At 36.5% G+C, this 24,955-nt stretch overlaps 1 long non-coding RNA gene and 1 pseudogene across 2 annotated transcripts; one reads left to right on the top strand and one right to left on the bottom strand.

Moving 5' to 3' along the window:
- Positions 1-7: 7 nt before the first annotated feature.
- On the bottom strand, positions 8-16,579 carry LINC02536 (long intergenic non-protein coding RNA 2536). Of its 2 annotated transcripts, none has more exons than XR_001743851.2 (4): positions 16,459-16,579; positions 15,812-15,952; positions 14,983-15,101; positions 8-92 (listed from the first exon to the last, which is right to left on the bottom strand). It is a non-coding gene; the product is annotated as a long intergenic non-protein coding RNA 2536 (long non-coding RNA). The 2 variants fall into 2 exon arrangements; XR_001743853.2 differs by having other exon boundaries at positions 16,473-16,579.
- On the top strand, positions 19,864-20,886 carry LOC100421513 (TBL1X/Y related 1 pseudogene; annotated as a pseudogene).

Genomic DNA, 24,955 nt, shown 5'->3' with positions numbered 1-24,955 from the left:
ATATTTTTAAATTTTTTCATTTGCTTATCATGGCTCTGCTTCTATCTTTTTCCCTTGGACAGCTAATATGTTGAAAAAAAATACAGAACAACCTAGGGCAAAACAAAAAATACCCACATCATTATTTTTTATATTTAGATGAAAGAAAGTGAAAGCAAAACAAATAGTTAAAAAAAAAAAAACAGCAAACTACTTAACAGATGATGTACCCCCAAACCAAAACTTCTAATTATTTATATAAAAATCTGGGTCTAATAAAATATTTATCATAAGTAATATTTTGGAAGTATACCTCCAAATCAAAAGGTGTAATTACTTTAAATATGAACCTATTAGGTTACAAACACTAGGATAACATAATTAGCAACAAGAACTCAATTAAACTAGCCAGATCTCAAATCATTATTGAGGCAGACACAGGAGAAAGCAGGTCTGAAGGATAAATGGAATTAGAATGAAGTTTTCTTTCCTTGGTAACAAAGCTCTTGGTAATCTGACTCCCACCTCCTTTCTACAATCAAATTTTATAAATTCTCAGTTGCCCTAAAGGTACTCATCCTTTCCTAGACCTATAAATTTGTTTGTTTATTACTTAGTTGTGAACACTACTAAAAAAAAGTCTGTTTTTTAAAATTGTACTTTAAGTTCTGAGATACATGTGTAGAACATGCGGGTTTGTTACATAGGTATACACGTGCCATGGTGGTTTGCTGCACCCATCAACCTGTCTTCTACATTAGGTATTTTTCCTAAGGTTATCCCTCCCCTAGCCCCCTACCCCTTAACCAACACAAAACTCTCTTTTAAAAACAAATATTTTTAGGAATGTGAAGGGAGGCAAGATGGCCAACTAGATGCAGCCAGTAGGAACATCTTCCACTGAGGGACTGGGACATTGGGAAGACTGGCACACTCCAAGCAAATTTTTGGAGAGAAGGCACTGAGAGTGGTTGGGGAGAGGACACAGATGCTGGACTGAAAGAGAGGAAGTGGGAACCCCGCCCAGGGCTACTGCCTACCAGGGCAGTAGTAATGAAGGTACTCAATGTAAAGAGATAAAGAGAAATCTACCCAGCAAGAAGAAATCAGAAAAAAGCAGGGATTGCTATTTTAATTTCGGACAAAACAGACTTTAAACCAGCAAAGATCAAAAAAGACAAGGAAGGGCATTACATAATGGTAAATGGCTCAATTCAACGAAAACACGAATTATCCTAAATATATATGCCCCCAACACGGGACCACCCAGATTCATAAAGCAAGTTCTTACACACCAATGAAGATACTTAGATAAATACACAATAATAGTGGAAGAATTCAACAACCCATTGACAGTGTTAGACAGATCATTGGGGCAGAAAACTAACAAACATATTTAGGAACTCAACACTTGACCAAATGCACCTAACAGGTATCTATGGAACTCTCCATCTCAAAACAAAAGAGTATACATTCTTCTCATCTGCACATGGATCATACTCTAAAATTGACTACACAATCAAACATAAAACAATCCTCAGCATCAGCAAATTCAAAAAATTAAAATCATACCAACTGCACTCTTGGTCCACAGCACAATAAAATAGAGATCAATAATAAGAAAATTACTCAAAATCATACAGTTACATGGAGACTAAACAACCTGCTCCTGAATGACTTCTGGGTAAATAATGAAATTAAGACAGAAATCAAGAAATATTTTGGAAAAATAAGAAGAAAGATACAACATACAAGAATCTCTGTGACACAGCTAAAGCAGTATTAACAGAGAAATATATAGCACTAAACACCCACATCAAAAGGTTTAAAAGATCTCAAATGAACAACCTAACATTACAACTAGAGGAACTAGAGAAACAAGAGCATAACAACACCAAAGCTAGCAGAAGACAAGAAATAATCAAAGTCAGAGCTTAACTGAAGGACATTGAGAAACAAAAAACTACACAAAAGATCAATAAATCCATGAGTTGGTTTTCTGAAAGAATTAATAACATAGATCAATAGCTAGACTAATAAAGAAAATAAGAGAGAAGATCCAAATAAACGCAATCAGAAATGACAAAGGAGACATTACTACTGACCCCATAGAAATACAAAAATCCCTCAGAGGCAACTAGGAACAACTCTATGCACACAAGCTAGAAAACCTAGAAGAAATGTATACATTCCTGGAAGCATACAACCTCCCAAGATGGAAACAGGAAGAAATTAAATCCCCAAAAAGACCGATAATGATATTGGTATTTTCAGGGATCTGAAATTGAATTAATAATAAATAGCCTGCCAACCAAAAACTAAAAACAAACAAACAAACACCCCAGAACCAGACAGATTCACAGATGAATTATACCAGTTGTACAAAGAAGAGCTGGTATCATTCCTATTGGAACTATTCCAAAAAAATTGAGGCGGAGGAATTTCTCTGTAACTTATTCTATAAAGTTAACATCATCCTGATAGCAAAACCTGACAGAGACACAACAAAAGCAGAAAACTTCAGGCAAATATTCTCGCTGAACATAGATGCAAAAGCTCCAACAAAATACTAGCAAACCAAATCCAGCAGCGTGTAAAAAAATCCACAATGATCAAGTAGGTTTTATCCCTAGGAAACAAGGTTGGTTCAACATACACAAATCAATAAATGTGATTCATCATGTAAATAGAACCAAAACACACACACACACACAAACACATGATTTACTCAAGAAATGCTGAAAAGGTTTTTAATAAAAATCCATATTCCTTCATATTAAAAACCTTCAACAAACTAGGCTTTGAAGGAATATTCTTCAAAATAATAAGAGCCATCTATGATAAACCTATCACCATCATACTGAATGGACAAAAGCTGGCTGCATTCCCCTTGAGAACTAGAACAATACCAGGATGTCCAGTCTCATCACTTCTATTTAACATAGTACTGGAAGTCCTAAACTTCAGCAAAGTTTTGGGATACAAAATAAATGTATAAAAATTAGTAGCAATCCTATACACCAACAATGTCCAAGCTGAGAGCCAAATCAAGATCACAATCCCATTCACAATAGCCATGGAAGGATAAAATACCTAGGAATACTGCTAACCAGGGAAGTGAAAATCTCTAGAATGAGAATTACAAAACACTGCTGAAAGAAATCAAAGATGAAAAAACAAATATAAAAACATTCAAGTCATAGATAGGAAGAATCAATATTATTAAAATGCCCATACTACCCAAAGAAATTTACATATTAAATGCTATTCCTATCAAACTACCAATGACATTCTTCACAAAATTAGAATGAACTATTTAAAAATGATATGGAACTGAAAAAGAGCTCAAATACCCAAGACAATCCTCAGCAAAATGAACAAATCTAGAGGCATTACATTACCTGACTTCAAACTATACTACAAGTTTACAGTAACCAAAACAGCAAGGTACTGGTACAAAAACAGACACACAGACCAATGGAACAAAGTAGAGAGCCCAGAAATATTGTTGCACCCCTACAGTCATCTGATCTTCAACAAAGTAGGCAAAAACAAGCAATTGTAAAAGGACTCACTATTCAATAAATGATGCTGATGATTCAATAAATGAAAACTGGCTAGCCGTATGCAGAAGATTGAAACTGGACCCCTTCCTTACACCATATACAAAAATCAACTCAAGATGAATTTAAAACATAAGTGTGAAACCCAAAACTATAAAAACCCTGGGAAATATCCTAGGATATGCCATTCTGGACAGAAGATCTGGCAAATAGTTCATGATGCCACTGCCAAAAGCAATTGCAACAAAAAAATTGACAAATGGGACTTAATTCAACTGAAGAGTCTCTGCACAGCAAAAGAAACTATCAACAGAGTAAATGTACAAAGTATAGAATGGGAGAAAGTATTTGTGAACTATACATCAAACAAAGTTCTAATATCCAGAATCTATTAGGAACTTAAACAAATTAACAAGCAAAAAAACAAGCAGCCCCATTTAAAAAGACATGAATGGACACTTCTCAAAAGAATACCACACACAGCTAACAAGCATATGAAGAAAGTGTTCAGCATCAAAAATCATTAAAGAAATGCAACTCAAAACCACAGTGTGATACCATCTCACACCAGTCAAAATGGCTATCAACAAAAAGTCAAAAAATGACAGAAGCTGGTGAGGTTGCAGAGAAAATGGAATACTTATACACTGCTGGTGGGAAGGTTAATTACTTCAGTCATTGTGTAAACCAGTGTGGTGATTTCTCAAAGAACTTAAAGTAGAATTACCGTTCAACTCAGCAATCATATTATTGGGTATATACCCAAAGGAGAGAAATCATTCTGCCATAAAGACACATGCACACATGTGTTCATCAAAGCACTATTCACAATAGCAAAGACATGGAACTAACCTAAATGCCTATCAACAATAGACTGCATTAAAAAAATGTGGTCCATTGTCCCATGGAATACTACACAGCCATAACAAAGAACAAGATCATGTCTTTGCAGGAAAATGAATGGAGCTACAGGCCATTATCCTAAGCGAATTAACAAAGGAACAGAAAAGTGAGAACTGCATGTTCTCACTTACAAGTGGGAGCTAAACACTGATTACACATGGGCACAAAGAAGGGAAAAACAGACACTAAGGCCTACTTGAGGTTGGATGAGGGGCGAGGGTGAGAATTGGAAAACTACCTATCAGATACTAAGCTTATTACATGGATGGTGAAATAATCTGCACACCAAACCCCCATGACACAGAGTTTACCAATCACAAACCCACACATGTATTCTTGAACCTAAATGCCAAAAAAATTATAGTTACTTTTATCATGAAGTAAAATTCTTATAAGCTACCTACATACAATTTAAAATAAATTAATAAAATCTTTTAATGGAAACATAGAAAAGAAATCAAAATAATAACAAAATGTAATGTGTATTTTAACATGTTAATGCTGAAGCACAACCACGCAGGACAAGACATGATAAGACATATTTATACCTAATAAGTAAGGTCACATAAATATAACAGCGGCAAATGCAGAATCATACAAGCATACTTTTACTGAAAATCATATACAAAGTATGCTTTTACTGCAGTTAAAAATGCCATCAATGGCTTTTCTACTGGGGATATTATTTTCCAAAATGATAAAAACTCATTATCCAACAAAGTATTGTAATGATCTTCCTTTAAATTACCTCATATTGTTATTTATACAAAATCAAATGAATATCAAAAGTATAAAAGATAATTCTAGTTTAATGGAATTAAGAATAAGACTCAGATAATTACCTATTTGCACCTGCATGAGTGCTTGGGTGAACATGAATATGTGACAATTTTATTTGTGTGACTTATTTGCATATCTCTGGATCTTTCGCCTTAACCCCCACACTAAATATCAGTAGTGTCTCATCCTAGGGAAGAGCAGAACTCTAAGAGAAGATCCCCTTCTCTGCAAGCCTATGTGAGATCTGAATTGGAAAATGCTAATTTACTTTCCTCCCCACTGCTTGTATTATGTTCCCAGACTATCCTGTATTCACCTGCATGGAAGCATTTATCACATAAGCCATGTTCACTTATCATATTTTAGTTTCCTAAACTGGATAGAGCTTTACTTGAAACCAACCCAATACTCCCATAGATTGTTATTTTGGATAAACATAGACATTAACCCTTCTGCTGTTGAAGCTTGAAACCTGTATTTGTTTTATCTGAGTTTCTTCCTCAGGAAAAGACCTTCAGGCTTCTCAAAAAAAGTATTAAAGAATTGAAGCTCACCTAATCACAGCACCAGATGCCTCTTTGCCCCTCCATAGTTCCAGTTTTATTACACAATGTTACATTTCTTCCATGCTATATAAACCTCTTGTTTTAGTTAGTCAGGGAGATGGATTTGAGACTTGAGCTCCTATCTCCTTGGCTGCAGTACCCGATTAAAGAGTTCTTCTTTGGCAATACTTGTCATCTCAGTGATTGGCTTTCTGTGCAGTGAGCAGCAGGACCTAGACCAAACCCCTGGTGTTTTGGTAACACACTTAGTAGGACTACGTATTCTTCATTTTTATATTATCTGACACAGTGTCTACCTATCTTATAATAAGCAATCAATAAATGTTGGCTCAATTATTGAAACAGTATTATTAAACAAATGGAGGCATTTAAAAGGCAATGTAATAGAAGTAAATTTGCCAGTTCCTCAGGCAAGAACTTTTCAGCTAATTCCTCTTGGCCGGAATCTGGTATTCTTTTTGACAAACAGTTTTGTTTTTGTGAACAGTATTGATAGAACTTGAGCAAATGGTTCACATTGACCAAATCAAAAAACAAGCACACATTAAAATGCCACCTAATTTTAAACAGAGAACAGATTATTTATTTACAATAGAGAAGTCAATGTGGATGTATACTCATGTCTTCTGGACAGGGCATTTTGTGCCTGTAGAGAAATCTACTGCAAAAGCCAAATTTCTCTATTAACATAGAATCAGCAAAAGCAAATTGAACTTCGGGCTTGTGTCATGAAACTCAGGTTTGAGTGTTATCGGTTCTTTAAAGATATCTTAATAAGATTATCACATTTCTCTGGCTTATTTGGAATAGGAAACACTGATTTTTAAAAATATTCTATGCATAGTTCCTTTTTTGTTACCACAATCCTTTCAACTATAACGTTTTCTTTTTATTTCTGGAACATGGTATATAATTAATTGTATATTATATAGCGTTGAGGTGGTGAGACTTTCTATTAAGATAATTTTTCTAAATAGAGAATGGGTTGTTTGGGTATGTATGGGTTTTACCATTGAGTCTTAGGATACATTTTGAATCACATTTTTTACTATCAAAGTTGTTTACTAATCACCAAAAATTACTTGATCACTAATAGTATGTGAGGTGCTCTACTAAATGCTTCCATTCTCCTCCAACAGTCTCTTATGTGTTAGAGCCCAGCAATATTGGTGCAGTTTCCTCAAGAAAATTTGAATGATTTTAACACCAGAATGCTTGGTTGGGGAAGACTTTGGCATTTTGGTCGTTTGTAGCCAAGAGAAGACAGAGCTGATATGGTTGTTTGGAAATCCTATTATAACAGAGATAATTAATTTTATATATTATTTTCTCTTTGATGAATAATAGTTCCCAAGAAGCACACTTTTATTGAGTGTGATTTTCCAGGTAAAATTGGTTATAATAGGCATTTTAAAAATTACACTTCTGTGCACTTTTTAATGTTTACTAATTATCTCTGGTCAGATAAGCATTTAGAAAAAATAAGATGGCATCACAAATTTCTCGCCAGTGTCATTTTAATTAATGCCTTTTTATTATAGTTTAAATAAATATATTACACCAGTGAGATTGTAAAACTTGTGTTTCATGTATAAAACTGTTTAAGAGGGAAGGTGGAGCCAAGAGGGTCGAATAGGAACAGCTCCAGTCTAGAGCTCCCAGAGTGAGCGACGCAGAAGATGAGTGATTTCTGCATTTCCAACTGAGCTTTGAAGAGAGTAGTGGTTCTCCCAGCATGCAGCAGCTGGAGATCTGAGAACGGACAGACTGCCTCCTCAAGTAGGTCCCTGACTCCCGAGTAGCCTAACTGGGAGGCACCCCCCAGCAGGGGCAGACTGACACCTCACACGGCTGGGTACTCCTCTGAGACAAAACTTCCAAAGGAAAGATCAGGCAGCAACATTTGCTGCTCACCAGTATCCGCTGTTCTGCAGCCTCCGCTGCTGACACCCAGGAAAACAGGGTCTGGAGTGGACCTCCAGCAGACTCCAACAGACCTGCAGCTGAGGATCCTGACTGTTAGAAGGAAAACTAACAAACAGAAACGACATCCACACCAAAACCCCATCTGTACGTCACCATCATCGAAGACTAAAGGTAGATAAAACCACAAAGATGGGGAAAAAACAGAGCAGAAAAACTGGAAACTCTAAAAATCGGAGCGCCTCTCCTCCTCCAAAGGAACACAGCTCCTCACCAGCAACGGAACAAAGCTGGATGGAGAATGACTTTGACGAGTTGAGAGAAGGCTTCAGACGATCAAACTACTCCGAGCTAAAGGAGGAAGTTCGAACCCATGGCAAAGAAGTTAAAAACCTTGAAAAAAAATTAGACGAATGGCTAACTAGAATAACCAATGCAGAGAAGTCCTTAAAGGACCTGATGGAGCTGAAAACCAAGGCACGAGAACTACGTGACAAATGCACAGCCTCAGTAGCCAATTCGATTAACTGGAAGAAAGGGTATCAGTGACGGAAGATGAAATTAATGAAATGAAGTGAGAAGAAAAGTTTAGAGGAAAAAGAATAAAAAGAAATGAACAAAGCCTCCAAGAAATATGTGACTATGTGAAAAGACCAAATCTACGTCTGATTGGTGTACCTGAAAGTGACGGGGAGAATGGAACCAAGTTGGAAAACACTCTGCACAATATTATCCAGAACTTCGCCAATCTAGCAAGGCAGGCCAACATTCAAATTCAGGAAATACAGAGAACACCACAAAGATACTCCTCGAGAAGAGCAACTCCAAGACACATAATTGTCAGATTCACCAAAGTTGAAAATGAAGGAAAAAATGTTAAGGGCAGCCAGAGAGAAAGATCGGGTTACCCACAAAGGGAAGCCCAACAGACTAACAGCTGATCTCTTGGCAGGAACTCTACAAGCCAGAAGAGAGTGGGGGCCAATATTCAACATTCTTAAAGAAAAGAATTTTCAACACAGAATTTCATATCCAGCCAAACTAAGATTCATAAGTGAAGGAGAAACAAAATCCTTTACAGACAAGCAAATGCTGAGAGATTGTGTCACCACCAGGCCTGCCCTAAAAGAGCTCCTGAAGAAAGCACTAAACATGGAAAGGAACAACAGGTACCAGCCACTGCAAAAACATGCCAAATTGTAAAGACAATCAAGGCTAGGAAGAAACTGCATCAACTAACGAGCAAAATAACCAGCTAACATTATAATGACAGGATTGAATTCATACATAACAATATTAACCTTAAATGTAAATGGGCTAAATGCTCCATTTAAAAGACACAGACTGGCAAATTGGATAAAGAGTCAAGACCCATCAGTGTGCTGTATTCAGGAAACCCATCTCACATTCAGAGACACACATAGGCTCAAAATAAAGGAATGGAGGAAGATCTACCAAGCAAATGGAAAACAAAAAAAGGCAGGCATTGCAATCCTAGTCTCTGATAAAACAGACTTTAAACCAACAAAGATCAAAAGAGACAAAGAAGGCCATTACATAATGGTAAAGAGATCAATTCAACAAGAAGAGCTAACTATCCTAAATGTATATACACCCAATACAGGAGCACCCAGATTCATAAAGCAAGTCCTTAGAGACACACAAAGCGACTTAAACTCCCACACGATAATAATGAGAGACTTTAACACCACACTGTCAACATTAGACAGATCAACGAGACAGAAAGTTAACAAGGATATCCAGGAATTGAACTCAGCTCTGCATCAAGCGGACCTAATAGACATCTACAGAACTCTCCACCCCAAATCAACAGAATATACATTCTCAGCACCATACCGCACTTATTCCAAAATTGACCACATAGTTGAAAGTAAAGCACTCCTCAGCAAATGTAAAAGAACAGAAATTATAACAAACTATCTCTCAGACCACAGTGCAATGAAACTAGAACTCAGGATTAAGAAACTCACTCAAAACCTCTCAACTACATGGAAATTGAACAACCTGCTCCTGAATGACTACTAGGTACATAACGAAATGAAGGCAGAAACAAAGATGTTCTTTGAAACCAACGAGAACAAAGACACAACATACCAGAATTTCTGGGACACATTCAAAGCAGTGTGTAGAGGGAAATTTATAGCACTAAATGCCCACAAGAGAAAGCAGGAAAGATCTAAAATTGACACCCTAACATCACAATTAAAAGAACTAGAGAAGCAAGGGAAAACACATTCAAAAGCTAGCAGAAGGCAAGAAATAACTAAGATCAGAGCAGAACCGAAGGAAATAGAGACACAAAAAACCCTTCAAAAAAATCAATGAATCCAGGAGCTGGTTTTTTGAAAAGATCAACAAAATTGATAGACTGCTAGCAAGACTAATAAAGAAGAAAAGAGAGAAGAATCAAATAGATGCAATAAAAAATGACAAAGGGGATATCACCACCGATCCCACAGAAATACAAACTACCATCAGAGAATACTATAAACACCTCTATGCAAATAAACTAGAAAATCTAGAAGAAATGGATAAACTCCTGGACACACACACCCTCCCAAGACTAAACCAGGAAGAAGTTGAATCTCTGAATGGACCAATAACAGGCTCTGAAATTCAGGCAATAATTAATAGCTTACCAACCAAAAAAAGTCCAGGACCAGATGGATTCACAGCCGAATTCTACCAGAGGTACAAGGAGGAGCTGGTACCATTCCTTCTGAAACTATTCCAATCAATAGAAAAAGAGGGAGTCCTCTCTAACTCATTTTATGAAACCAGCATCATCCTGATACCAAAGCCTGGCAGAGACACAACAAAAAAAGAGAATTTTAGACCAATATCCCTGATGAACATTGATGCAAAAATCCTCAATAAAATACTGGCAAACCGAATCCAGCAGCACATCAAAAAGCTTATCCACCATGATCAAGTGGGCTTCATCCCTGGGATGCAAGGTTGGTTCAACATACGAAAATCAATAAATGTAATCCAGCATATAAACAGAACCAACGACAAAATCCATATGATTATTTCAATAGATGCAGAAAAGGCCTTTGACAAAATTCAACAACACTTCATGCTAAAAACTCTCAATAAATTAGGTATTGATGGGACGTATCTCAAAATAATAAGAGCTAACTATGATAAACCCACAACCAATATCATACTGAATGGGCAAAAACTGGAAGCATTCCCTTTGAAAACTGGTACAAGACAGCGATGCCCTCTCTCACCACTCCTATTCAACATAGTGTTGGAAGTTCTGGCCAGGGCAATCAGGCAGGAGAAGGAAATAAAGGGTACTCAATTAGGAAAAGAGGAAGTCAGATTGTCCCTGTTTGCAGATGACATGATTGTATATCTAGAAAACCCCATTGTCTCAGCCCAAAATCTCCTTAAGCTGATAGGCAACTTCAGCAAAGTCTCAGGATACAAAATCAATGTGCAAAAATCACAAGCATTCTTATACACCAATAACAGACAAACAGAGACAAATCATGAGTGAACTCCCATTCACAGTTGCTTCAAAGAGAATATAATACCTAGGAATCCAACTTACAAAGGACATGAAGGACCTCTTCAAGAAGAACTACAAACCACTGCTCAGTGAAATAAAAGAGGATACAAACAAGTGGAAGAACATTCCATGCTCATGGGTAGGAAGAATCAATATCGTGAAAATGGCCATACTGCCCAAGGTAATTTATAGATTCAAGGCCATCCCCATCAAGCTACCAATGACTTTCTTCACAGAATTGGAAAAAACTACTTTAAAGTTCATATGGAACCAAAAAAGGGCCTGCATTGCCAAGTCAATCCTAAGCCAAAAGAACAAAGCTGGAGGCATCATGCTACCTGACTTCAAATTATACTACAAGGCTACAGTAACCAAAACAGCATGGTACTGGTACCAAAACAGAGTTATAGACCAATGGAACAGAACAGAGCCCTCAGAAATAATACCACATATCTACAACCATCTGATCTTTGACAAACGTGACAACTACAAGAAATGGGGAAAGGATTCCCTATTTAATAAATGGTGCTGGGAAAACTGGCTAGCCATATGTAGAAAGCTGAAACTGGATGCCTTCCTTACACCTTATACAAAAATTAATTCAAGATGGATTAAAGACTTAAATGTTAGACCTGAAACCATAAAAACCCTAGAAGAAAACCTATGCAACACCATTGAGGACATAGGCATGGACAAGGACTTCATGTCTAAAACACCAAAAGCAATGGCAACAAAAGCCAAAATTGACAAATGGGATCTAATTAAACTAAAGAGCTTCTGCACAGCAAAAGAAACTACCATCAGTGTGAACAGGCAGCCTACAGAATGGGAGAAGATTTTTGCAATCTACTCATCTGACAAAGGGCTAATATCCAGAATCTACAATGAACTCAAATTTACAAGAAAAAAACAAACAACCCCATCAAAAAGTGGGCGAAGGATATGAACAGACACTTCTCAAAAGAAGACATTTATGCAGCCAAAAGACGCATGAAAAAATGCCCATCATCACTGGCCATCAGAGAAATGCAAATCAAAACCACAATGAGATACCATCTCACACCAGCTAGAATGGCGATCATTAAAAAGTCAGGAAACAACAGGTGCTGGAGAGGATGTGGAGAAATAGGAACACTTTTACACTGTTGTTGGGACTGCAAACTAGTTCAACCATTGTGGAAGTCAGTGTGGGGATTCCTCAGGGATCTAGAACTAGAAATACCATTTGACCCAGCCATCCCATTACTGGGTATATACCCAAAGGATTATAAATCATGCTGCTATAAGGACACATGCATACCTATGTTTATTGTGGCACTATTCACAATAGCAAAGACTTGGAACCAACCCAAATGTCCATCAATGATAAACTGGATTAAGAAAATGTGACACATATACACCATGGAATACTATGCAGCCATAAAAAAGGATGAGTTCATGTCCTTTGTAGGGACATGGATGAAGCTGGAAACCATCATTCTCAGCAAACTATCACAAGGACAAAAAACCAAACACCGCATGTTCTCACTCATAGGTGGGAATTGAACAATGAGAACACATGGACACAGGAAGGGGAACATCACACACCGGGGCCTGTTGTGGGGTGGGGGGAGGGGGGAGGGATAGCATTAGATGATATACCTAATGTTAAATGATGAGTTAATGGGTGCAGCACACCAGCATGGCACATGTATACATATGTAACTAACATGCATGTTGTGCACATGTACCTTAAAACTTAAAGTATAATAAAAAAAAATTTTTCCATAAAAAAAAGGAATCCAAATAAGACATGAGGCAAAAGAATTCAAAAGCCACATTGTATCCTAGGCTGAAATTCACTAACCTATTATATCTAGTATCTCATTTCCAGCTTTATTGGCCAATATAGCTCACCAAAGACTATATAAAAAAAAATCAAAGGGAAGAATAAAATAGAATCCCCAGTTGTAAATAACGGTGTTATTTCAAAACTCACCTAGTATTACTCCAGAAGCTTTCTACTTACCTATGCAGAATTCCCTTGCCATTCTTTAACTCTTTTCTGGCAAGCATTTAGTATTCAGGAATGAGAGACCTTTCATTAAAGAGGCTCTATCTGAAGCTCTAGGAGTGTGCCTATCAACAATTTAAATGACTAAAAGTTTCAACTGGTAGTCAATCTAGTTTGCCTGTGAACTCTTATCTCCTTTCTTAGATTTTTGGACTGTGGTAACATCTCTGAACTTGTAATTACTAAAGTAGTTAAATTATTTGATCCATGTTTAATATGATATGAGATTTCATATCATCCACTTACTCTCTATCTAGAATGCACTTTATGAGCACACGTCCTCTTTTAGGCAGGCGTCAGAATATTAACTTCGCCTTAGATATTCTTTTTCTTAAGGTCAGAAGTGATCTGATAAAGAAAACTTTAGGAAAAATATGTCTTCCTTGCTCTCCATGTAGGAGTTACTGACTTCTCTTTCTCTGAAGAATTCAGACTAACACAGATGTAAAGCCTGAATTTTCAGCCAGGCTTTGTGAATAGACCTTCTGGAAGGGCTACAGTGAATGGCTCAAGAGCTTCTTTCCAGGTTTAGTAGGCTAAGAGGCTGTGTCATTTAATTGTAGGAGGGAATAAAGGGAAAAAGTAGAAAAGAAAGGTAATAAAAAAGATGAAAAGATAAACTTGAAAGGGAGAAATTAATATTAATAGTGTTACTCTGTAGGCCATAGACAGCAGCTCTAAAATTATTAGTTGTAATAGGTTATAAACTGGAAAATAAACACTTAATAAATTTTAAAAGTGATCTCATGCTCCAATTAGAGAAATTGACATCAGTCTTGCATAATACAATTTGATAATGTAGTTAATCATGAGCCAAACCTTTTGAAGACTAATCAATTTAAGCTACGATCTTCATTTCCAAAGATAAAAGATGACAGAATAGAAGGTTACCATACTTACAAAGATTCCTTGGTGAAAATTGTAAATACACTTTATTAATAAATGAAAAAGTTATTTTCTGAAATACTGTAGAAATCATTCAAATCCAAATTCAACAACTGAAGCTGACAGAGAGAAGTGCACAATTAATCTCATACTTGAGATACATTGTCTTACATGTCACTGAACCTTGACATTCCAGCATCAATGTTTGCTCCATGTTCTTTCTATAGTAAAGGTGTGCATCCTCATCTGCTTGTACACAGACATGCCTATAATATTGACAACTTTTTAATTACAAATACCTAAGTATAACTAATATGATGTTGAGAATCGATGTCAAAATAAAATTACAATACATGTAGTTGCTAATCTTATCCATTCCTTAGATTATTGTGTATAATTATTTTGGTTGCCTGTCCAAAAATAAGTTTATTCTTAAAACCTTTGTTTTGACACTTGACAAGGAATTTTTCTTCACACATTCACATTACAAATTAATCAGGCTTGAGTGAAAGAACTTGCAATTATGAGGACAGATATGATTTGTTTCTCATCTCAACATTCATAATAAGTAGTTAACTGTACAAGTTAATCATTGGTCAGAATCATTGAAGGGTACCCGGTACAAATATTGCTGGAAATTAAGGGACCTAAATTATAGCTTACAGTCACAGATATTGAAAATATACAAATGCCATAGACAGAAGCTCTAAGTGGGTTTTTAAATATTCAATAGAGTGGAATTCATGTTTTAGTGCATTCCAGTCATCTAAAATAATCACAGTGCTCTACCTGAAAACACTTTTTGGACATATTCATAGTTTGCTGGAGGGATGCATAGCTTTCCTCTATAGATTAATAGAAGACAAGTCTATACTCTGAAGGTGGTAAATTATCTCAGCAGGAAATTCCTGAAAAATACAGAATCAAGTACATCAAAGCATTATATAAAAACTAAAACTTAGAAGTGGGCTATCAAAGATGATTTTTTCACTATTTAAATTAAAGGATTGGGTAAAATGAAGAATTCTGCAAGTACAATTAATTTATTCCTCAAGCAAGTGAATGGAATACATTAAATGTGGGAAAGTACAGTAAATCTGGGAGAGCCAGAAATTGTTCTAAATCAAGGCTCTAGTTTGGATGCAGATACACACACATGATTCAAAGTTTGATATCAGAAGTATACAAACCTATCTACTTGCAGATCAAATATTAATCATGTACTAGATCTTTTTCCCATTCAGACAGGAAATTCAGAAGATGATTCTCACAGGTGGAGAAGTTTATCTAACAATTAAGTCATCCTGTAATCAATAGTCAATAAATGTCCCTCAGGTTTCTGATATTGGTATATCTGAAGAGCTGAACTAATTTTGTACTATCTTGCTCTGCGTTATCAGATTCTTTGAAGATTCTGACTTCCTTTCCAAACAGTTTACATAATATTTCCAAGATTTGTAACTTACTGTATACACTTTATCGTATTTCAGCTGACCACTGTCCTTTGAACTACATGCTTATTTTTGGTCTAAAACTCTTTAGTTGGGTCTTTTTCTATGTATCTATATTGTCCTATCATTTCTGGTTCCTCCTAGGCATTGATTATTCTCGGATCTACCTGTTTCTCCTTCTTCTGTAGATAATGTTGGCTGTCAAGGTTGTAATTCTATACCTTCTGTCAATTATTCTTTGCCTCCTGTGCTCCTAGGTCAATTGTCAGAAAAGGGTTGTGATGATCAATCCTGCCATCAAGGAGAAGCTGAAATATCCATCGATACAAAGTGTTAGGTCAAGGACACACAGGATAGATAAGACTTTAAAGGAATGCTCATCCATCATTCATAAAGCTGGTAAAGCACTAGGAAAGTCAAAGCAATGAAATGTCAGAGCGCGTTGCTAAGGAATGCAAACCTAACTCATGGATGTCAATTGGCTTCAGCCAGGAAATTCCCAGTACACATCTACTTGAAGCAAGATACTCTTTCAGGCCTCTGGCAAGTGAAAATATTAATCACTATAAATTTAGGCTCTCTGGGCTCTACTCATTCTTTAATTTAATATGAAGGCCATCAAACTAAGTAAATAGTTGTGGTAAATTCGGACAAGTATGATCAAACGACTGAATGGGAAAAATTGTTTTTTGACTGGGCAATTAATTCAAGATACATAAAGAGTTTGCGAGTGTAGTTCGTGAGTGCATTAAAAGACCTATTGCTTGAACAAAGAGGACATTGACCACAAAAGCAGCTGCCCTCCCCTGCTTACCGGGGTCCCTGTACCTTGAATAACCATCCTTTTGCATTCTCCACAGTAACTACTCCAGTCTTTCTTCAATCTCAATCACTCGTGTTTGTCTAACATTTGTCAGATGCCTTCAATTCCAACTACCTGGAGACACACAGAGTATCAGAAGGAAATACCCTCCTTTGGTCCCCATCCACCACTGAGGCACAAGAGAGCACCTCTGCCTTCTTCCTCCTGGAGGAAGAGATGTAGCTCGTTACCTCAGGGCTTTTGATCACAGACTGGTGCATCGTCAGTCTCTCTTTTTCTCCTGCCTGTTTCCTTTAAGCCTACAAACATGCCCAGATTTTTACAACTCAATATAAACAGTCTAGGTTAATTGTGACTAATTTATGATCACATTATCATTCTAGAATATGGTGAGGTACATAATGAAAGCATTGCCATCCACATCAAGTATCTAAAATCAAAACCAGGTTTTACCACTCACTGGTTGTTTGGCTTTGATCAATATACCCCCAATAAGCTTCAATTTCACTACCTATATAAACAAGGGCAATAATTATCCATTTCATAAAGTAGATTTATTACTTGTAAAGCATCTAATATTGTGTCCCAAACATGCAAACACACACCATCCTCCTTAACCCAAATAACATTCAACTTGAAACGAAAACAGAATTGTGGCTACATTAAAAATCATAACATAGTATGCATTCTCTCTCTCTCTCTTTCTCTCTCTCTCTCTCTCTGTGTGTGTGTGTGTGTGTGTGTGTGTGTCTTTTTCTTTGAAGAAAAATGAAACATGATGAAGTTAAGTGACTTGACCTGTTTATCAATTAGGAATAGGTTCACCAGCTAAAAGGAGCTTGAAAAATATTGTTTTAAACAAAATAGAATCTTCTATTACTAAAATAAATTCCCAAGTAGGCAGTCCATAGCTTTAGAAATTTCTTGGGCTCAGGTTACTTCTATTTTGCTGCTCTGATACATTTGTTTTTGCCAACTCATGATCCAAGATAGGACCAGTTGGCTTTCCCCATACAATGTTTTCTTTCCAATGAACAAGGAGAAAGAAGGAGCAAAGAAGAGCCAAGAATTCCCTCCAAGGAGGTTTCAGAAGCTTCCACCCAAGACTTATGCTTACATTTTATTGGACAGCATTTAGATCATAACCTTGGTTACCTGCAAACTAGACTTAATAATATAATCTTTATTCCAGGCTTTCATATGCATGTTAAAAATTCAGAATGAGACTACCAAGAAAGAAGGGGATGGCAGAGATTAGGATAAGTAGGTAGAAATCTGTACTACAGTCAGTATGACACGTGAATTATTTTAAATTATTCTTTTAAAGATTGCTTTGGAAGTTCTAATTTATTTCTTTATGACCCTAAGTAACTACTTAGAAATACATGCAGTGTTAATGTTTTGAGTTTTGACATTTGTGATATCTTAATTATTTTAGTTTACTTTTAAACTGTTATGTTTCCATTTTTTATAGAGATTCCAAAGAAAACTGAGAAGAAATAGCCCTACATATTACACTAAATGTTCATATGTATTTGGGTTTTTCCCCTGGATGTTTTCTTCTATTTTACTACTTGTATTCTTTCCTAATACCACATCACTGTAAATAGTGAGGCTTTATAATACGCTTTAAAATAGGTTAGATCAGCACTCTCATTTCCTTCATCTTTGGAGTTTTTCTGACTATTCTTCCTCACTTATTTTTCCAGACAAAATGTAAAATCTGCTTGAAAAAAAATAGTGCTCTAAAAAATCCCATTGGTATACTTATGGAGATTATATTACATTTTACTTACTCCTGGGAGTGGTAATATTTTGATGATGTCTCCCTATCCAAAAGCTTGCTGTAATTTTCAATTCATTTTTATATTCTGCTTAGGTTTATTCCTCAATATTTTAACTTTTATGTTAGTATTATAAGCATAATTCTATTCTATCTTAATATTTCCTAATAGGTCATTAATGTTATGTAGGGGAAGTGTTCATTTCTCCGTATTGATTTAGTCTAAATAATTTACCTGTATTTTCTTTGTTGGTGTGATAGTTTTAATTTGTTTTTCTTGGATATCCCAGGCATACAACCATATCAGTTATTAATAATGATAATCTAACCTCTTCCTTCCAGTTTTATTCCAATGTTTTATCTCATGTAATTTAACTGGTTAGTATCGCTAAATCAATGCTAAACTAAAGAACAGATAACTCTTCATATAATTCTGATTTAAATATACTTCTAAATTAACAGAAAATTTATTCTCTTGGTTCAAAGTATAACAGCATTATCTAACCTTTTCTTTTAGATTGAGATATCTGAGAAATTGAATTCATATATAGGAGGTTGTTGGGTAAACACTGTGACACACTCAAAACATTAGAATTCCCTTGACAGATATTTCATGTGGAACATGTCACAAGCTCAGCAGTTTTGCTAGTCACCTATGAAACATAGATTTTTTTAGTAAGGATATTAGTGCTTTCAGGATATATTACACATTAGTGAGGAAACTGGTTTAGTTGTTTGTAAGAGGGATTCAAAATAACAATGTTCTAAATAAGATAGAAGATTTTTTCTCCCTCAGATAAAACTCATATGTAGAAAATCAGCCATCACTCTTGGCTCCATAACCTTCTGGGAGCCATGCAACCTCCAGCTGTCCTCTCTGCCAGTCCCAAAATGATGGCCTTTTCATTAGGGTAAAGAGAGAGTTTCAGTCATCACACCCACAGTCTAAGTAAGACATCACTCTGATAGGCTGCCTTTGTCCAGTATAAGTAGGAACCAATCATTGTTTTAATATTACTTATATTCCTAAAGAATCTTCTGTCACTACACCAATTGTCTCATTTTCTTTTTCTTTGTATCAGAACTGTTTTATTTATTTTTTTATTATACTTTAATTTCTAGGGTACATGTGCACAATGTGCAGGCTTGTTACATAGGTATACATGTGCCATGTTGGTTTGCTGCACCCATCAACTCGTCATTTACATTAGGTATTTCTCCTATGCTATCCCTGCCTCATACCCCCCACGCCCCGACAGGTCCTGGTGTGTGATGTTCCCCGCCCTGTGTCCGTGCATTCTCATTGTTCAACTCTTGCCTATGAGGGAGAACGTCCAGTGTTTGGTTTTCTGTCTTCGGGATAGATTGCTCAGAATGATGGTTTCCAGCTTCATCCACGTCCCTGCAAAGGACATGAACTTATCCTTCTTTATGGCCGCATAGTATTCCATGGTGTATATGTGCCACATTTTCCTAATTGATGAACACTTGGGTTGGTTCCAAGTCTTTGCTAATGTGAATTGTGCTGCAATAAACATACATGTGCATGTGTCTTTATAGTAGCATTATTTATAATCCTTTGGGTATATACTGAGTAATGGGATCACTGGGTCACAAGACAGACCTATTAAAACATTCCAGGGACATAAGAATGAAGTAAATGCTATCAAATGGGACCCAACTGGCAATCTCCTGGCCTCTTGTTCTGATGACATGACTTTAAAGATATGGAGTATGAAACAAGACAATTGTGTCCATGATTTGCAAGCACATAATAAAGAAATTTATCCTATCAAATGGAGTCCAACAGGACTTCATCCACATCCCTGCAAAGGACATGAATTTATCCTTGTCCTGCTTTATTAGGAGGGATTTCAATATCTCCATCCACTTCCATCGTATCAGTATGATTATTTGCTATAATATGTGCTCCATTCTCCTCCCCATTTGCTGTGTTTTCTGCATTTTTTTTTTTTTTTTTTTTTTTTTTTTTTTTTGCAGATCCTTGTTGGTTGGCTGTGGCAGCTGCTGCCTGTTGCTGTTTAAGCTTATCGCTATAAGCTTGTTGTCTTGTTTGTACTACATCAGGCATTAAGGCGTCTATCAGGGACAGACTCATTGGTCGACCATCAAAGAAAGTACCATCCTCATTAATACTAACTTCTGCTTCTACATACTGTAGACCTTTCTGGATGATAGAAATCAATGCAGCAGGTGGGACGAGGGCACCATTTATATTGGACTGACTGATACGGCTTTCTATACCGAAGGTAAATGCTGAATGAGAAGCCTGTGTACAGTGTAGCTTTCAGTCCTGATGGCCGGTATCTGGCCAGCAATTCTTTTGACAAATGTGTACACATCTGGAACACACAGACAGGTGCTCTAGTTCACACTGTAGGGGAACAGATGGAATTTTTGAAGTTTGCTGGAATGCCGCAGGAGACAAAGTTGGAGCCAGTGCATCAGATGGTTCAGTTTGTGTATTAGACTTTCGGAAATAGCGCTACTAGTTGGAAGCCATGGACCAACTATGAATGTGTACATAGCCAAAATGACTGTCCCTGACCCACGTACTGCTATAGTCCCACTTGAACCATGGCCAGTCGACTACAGCCAAATCTAAAAGAAATATAGGCTGGGCGCAGAGGCTCATGCTTGTAATCCCAGCACTTTGGGAGACAGAGGCAGACGGATCAAGGGTCAGGAGTTCGAGACAAGCCTGGCCAATATGGTGAAACCCTGTCTCTTCTAAAAATACAAAAATTAGCCGGGCATGGTGGTGCGTGCCTGTAGTCCCAGCTACTCGGGAGGCTGAGACAGGAGAATCGCTTGAACCTGGGAGGCGGAGGTTGCAGTGAGCAGAGATTGTGCCACTGCACTCCAGACTAGGCAACAGAGCGAGACTCCTTCTCAAAAAAAAAAAAGAAAAGAAAAGAAAAACAGAAAGAAATATATACATACAATGTATATAAACAAAATTGCACCCTGAAGATGACAGTTTTGTCACAGCTTGTGAATTCTGTTCACCAAGTGCTGGAATCTAATCTACTGTGCCCCTAAAATAGCATTTAGAAGTTTTGGATATGAAAAACAGAAGAGAGAAAAATACACATTATAAAAGCAGAACATACATGTACCAGTTTTTGGATACCACCTGACAGCCTCGTTTCTCCCCTTTGAATCCGCAGACACCAAGGATTATATTCTTTTTTCCCTTCAGTAGTGAGCAGTTTGTATGTACAGAGAAAATGGACACAAAAACTTGCAGTGGTAGTTTGTTCTTGCTTTAAAATTTTGTTTTTGGTTTAGATTATGGGTGCATGAAGTAAGGGAATGAATCAGTTTCTTGTTTATATTTTTTCAGCTTTTAAACAACAAAAAATTCTTTAAAATATTTTAATGCATTCTTTTGAAGAGGTAGATGTTTGGTACATTTTATGGCTCCCAGAGCACATATTCAATTGGTGCATGTTGTGGAAGGGAGAATTGGAAATTAAATGAAAACATGACTTTGGTCATGTCAGTCTGTAAGACACATCCATAAAAGGTGTATTATGTTCTGTTGGTTTTGGTTCTTTGTTTGTTTGTTTTTTCTTTTTAGGCGATGTGGCATAAATGCAATAGTTTCTTTTGGGGGACATATTTCTACCAATTAAAGACTAGAAGGGCACAAAATGTTGTTGTTGTTGTTTTAATTACCATAGAGAAAATACCTTTTTAAAAAATTGGCTGGATGCAGTGGCTCACACCTATAATCCCAGCACTTTGGGAGGCCAAGGCGGGTGAATCACCTGAGGTCAGGAGTTCTTGACCAGCCTGGCCAAGATGGTGAAACACCATCTCTACCAAAAATACAAAAATTAGCCAGGCGCAGTGGCGGGCGCCTGTAATCCCAGCTACTCAGGAGGCTGAGGCAGGAGAATCGCTTGAACCCGGGAGGCGGAGGTTGCAGTGAGCAGAGATCGCGCCACTGCACTCCAGCCTGGGTGACAGAGCGAGACGCCAACTCAAAAAAAAAAAAAAAAAAAAAAAAAAAAAAAAAAAAACCACTTCTGATGTTTTGTAGCCATAAATAAATTATGGTAAAAATGTGCACTATTGTGAAAAGGAGCAAAGTAGTTTTGGGTTTTTTGTTGTTTGTTTGTTTGTTTGTTTGTTTTGCTTTTTTTTTGAGAGATTGAAATGTTTCTGGGTAAGGATTCGCTTCTCGAATTGTCTATCATTCTGTGTAGAAGCTTAAATATGTAATGTAACCAAACTCCACTATTAGAAATCTCTCATGTTGTTTTCTTTATACAAAGCAAGATAACGGCATATAACACTTCCATTACATGGCAAAATGTTTGCTACCTTAGTTTAAAAAACAATCTCTAAAACAAAAGACTTGCTTCAAGGTGTTTTTAAATAGCAGTGATTGCGATTTTTTTTTTTATGAAAGTATAATTGCACTAACCTTCTGCCTGCTGCTCTGATTCTGCACTTGTGATACTTGTGACTACATTTTTTCAAATATAGATAGATTTAAGCAGCTAATTTTTGTTTCAGTATCACTACTTTATCATGTCTTTTACTCTGTTTATAATATCAAGTATTTTCTTAAAGACATAGACATTAAATTAAACCTCTTGTTCTCATGCAACTAAGAGTAACATATACAGACAAACGATTGCATGAGGCCATGTTTATAAGTGTGACTAATAAGGCTTGTCATGATTAGTATAATCCAGGTATGTCATCTCTAAAGAGAAAGGTCATCAAATTTATATCTCAAAGATTTTAATCAAGGAATTCCTTATTGTTGAGCTTGGCAAATTAATAACACTATTTCTGTCATGAATTATTTTGAGGCCTTTTAGTACTAAAGTTTAAGTAGAAACTGGCTTAACCCAAGGAATGCAACTTTGATTTTCAGCAATTGTTGCTTTGCTATTTTTACAAAACAGCATTGATTGAAGCAACTCTTGGTTTTACCAAGGTAGGGTAGCATTTGCTATTGGTAGAGATTATAAATACACTTAATTTCACAATACATTGTTATATGTATCCCAGTTGTTGTTAGTGGGGACTATGATACCGTAATAATATTTTTAAAAATTTACATACAGGCCTGGCGCGGTGGCTCATGCCTGTAATCCCAGCACTTTGGGAGGCCAAGGTGGGCAGATCACGAGGTCAGGTGTTGGAGACCAGCCTGGCCAACATAGTGAAACCCCGTCTCTACTAAAAATACAAAAATTAGCCGGGTGAGGTGGCATGCGCCTGTAGTCCCAGCTACTCAGGAAGCTGAGGCAGGAGAATCGCTTGAACCCAGGAGGCGGAGGTTGCAGTGAGCCGAGACCACACCATTGCACTCCAGCCTGGATGACAGAGTGAGACTCCATCTCAAAAAAAAAAAAAAATTTGCATCAGTAGAGGCAGTCATTCACGATGGTTTTGTGCCAGCTCTTTTTAGGGTTTTGAATCACATTAGAGATATTTAGAACTTCTTAACCTGTGACTTCTGTAGGAAACCTAATATGCTGAATATCTGGCACTTGAATTCCTGCTTTTATTGCTAGAGGTCCACATCTGTGGTTGATCTCTGTTATTGTTTAAAAATTAAAATTAAAATTAAAAAAAATCTGTGCAAGAATTTTGAAATGTGGTCCCAGCAATAGACCCAAATGTTTTGAGTATCTTTTAAGTTGCATTTTCCTTTAGCAATGCATTTGTCAATTGCACTGAATTTAAACCTGAAAGTCAGAGGTGATTATTGACAGTACTTTTGTATTTTTATATGGACAATTTATTCGTTTGCATTCAGTTATTGACTTTTCCCCAGCTGATCAAAAGATAGTCAAGAAATTCTGCAATATAGCTGCCAAAAGAGACAGCTACATTTTTATTATATTGTCATCTTTTTTTTTTTTCCTGTAGCTATTTTACTTAAGCATAGTAGCCACAATAGGACATACAAAAGGACATATAAAAGACTATAAATACAGAGCTTTATCATCCTGACGTCTTGGGTCTTTTAAGTATACGCTTTTCTGAAAGGCATCCATCTGGTAGGCTTGGGTTCTTCATGAGCATACGATTGTTTATTTTTGCTGCTGTTCTCAACCTCATCATTGCCTGTTGATGTGCCAAGATGCTGCTCCAATAGATAGAAATAAGATTGTCTCTAATTTGAGCAGTAACACGATTGCAAGAGATGAAGTTTCACACCTTGTAAATTTCTGTATTTGGGATTCTCGCTCATTTTTCCACCTGTGTTTTTCTGAGAACTTATTTCTGATGATCAATTGAATCCAGTAGTTTTTGTTTGCTATTCATTGTTGTATAAGCTACTGTAAGAAACTTACAAGGAAAAATAGAAGGGAAAACTTGAATGAATACTAATTGATTAAAATGAAATAAAGAAAGAGTAGCTGCTACTTTTAAACAACATAAAGGAATATCTTTTTTCGCCTTCATGTAGGAAATCCCATAAGTTCTTATATTTGTTCCAATCCCTATTTCCTGCCATTGACCAGGTAACATCATTGACTTTCAAAAGACTTTTAAACTGGTAACTCTTAACTTCCTAATAGATATTAGAGTGTATTGAATTGTTTTAATTATTCTCTAGGTAAGTATGTTTTAGGATTAAATACCTTTTACAGATACTGAAAGTGACTCCTCTTGTGGTGTAAAAAACAAATTATGGTGCAAAAAGTAATC

The sequence above is a fragment of the Homo sapiens genome, chromosome 6 (assembly GCF_000001405.40).
Source record: "Homo sapiens chromosome 6, GRCh38.p14 Primary Assembly".
Lineage (NCBI taxonomy): Eukaryota > Metazoa > Chordata > Mammalia > Primates > Hominidae > Homo > Homo sapiens.
Note: the sequence above shows the minus strand (reverse complement) of the source record. Positions and strands in the feature narration are given on the sequence as shown.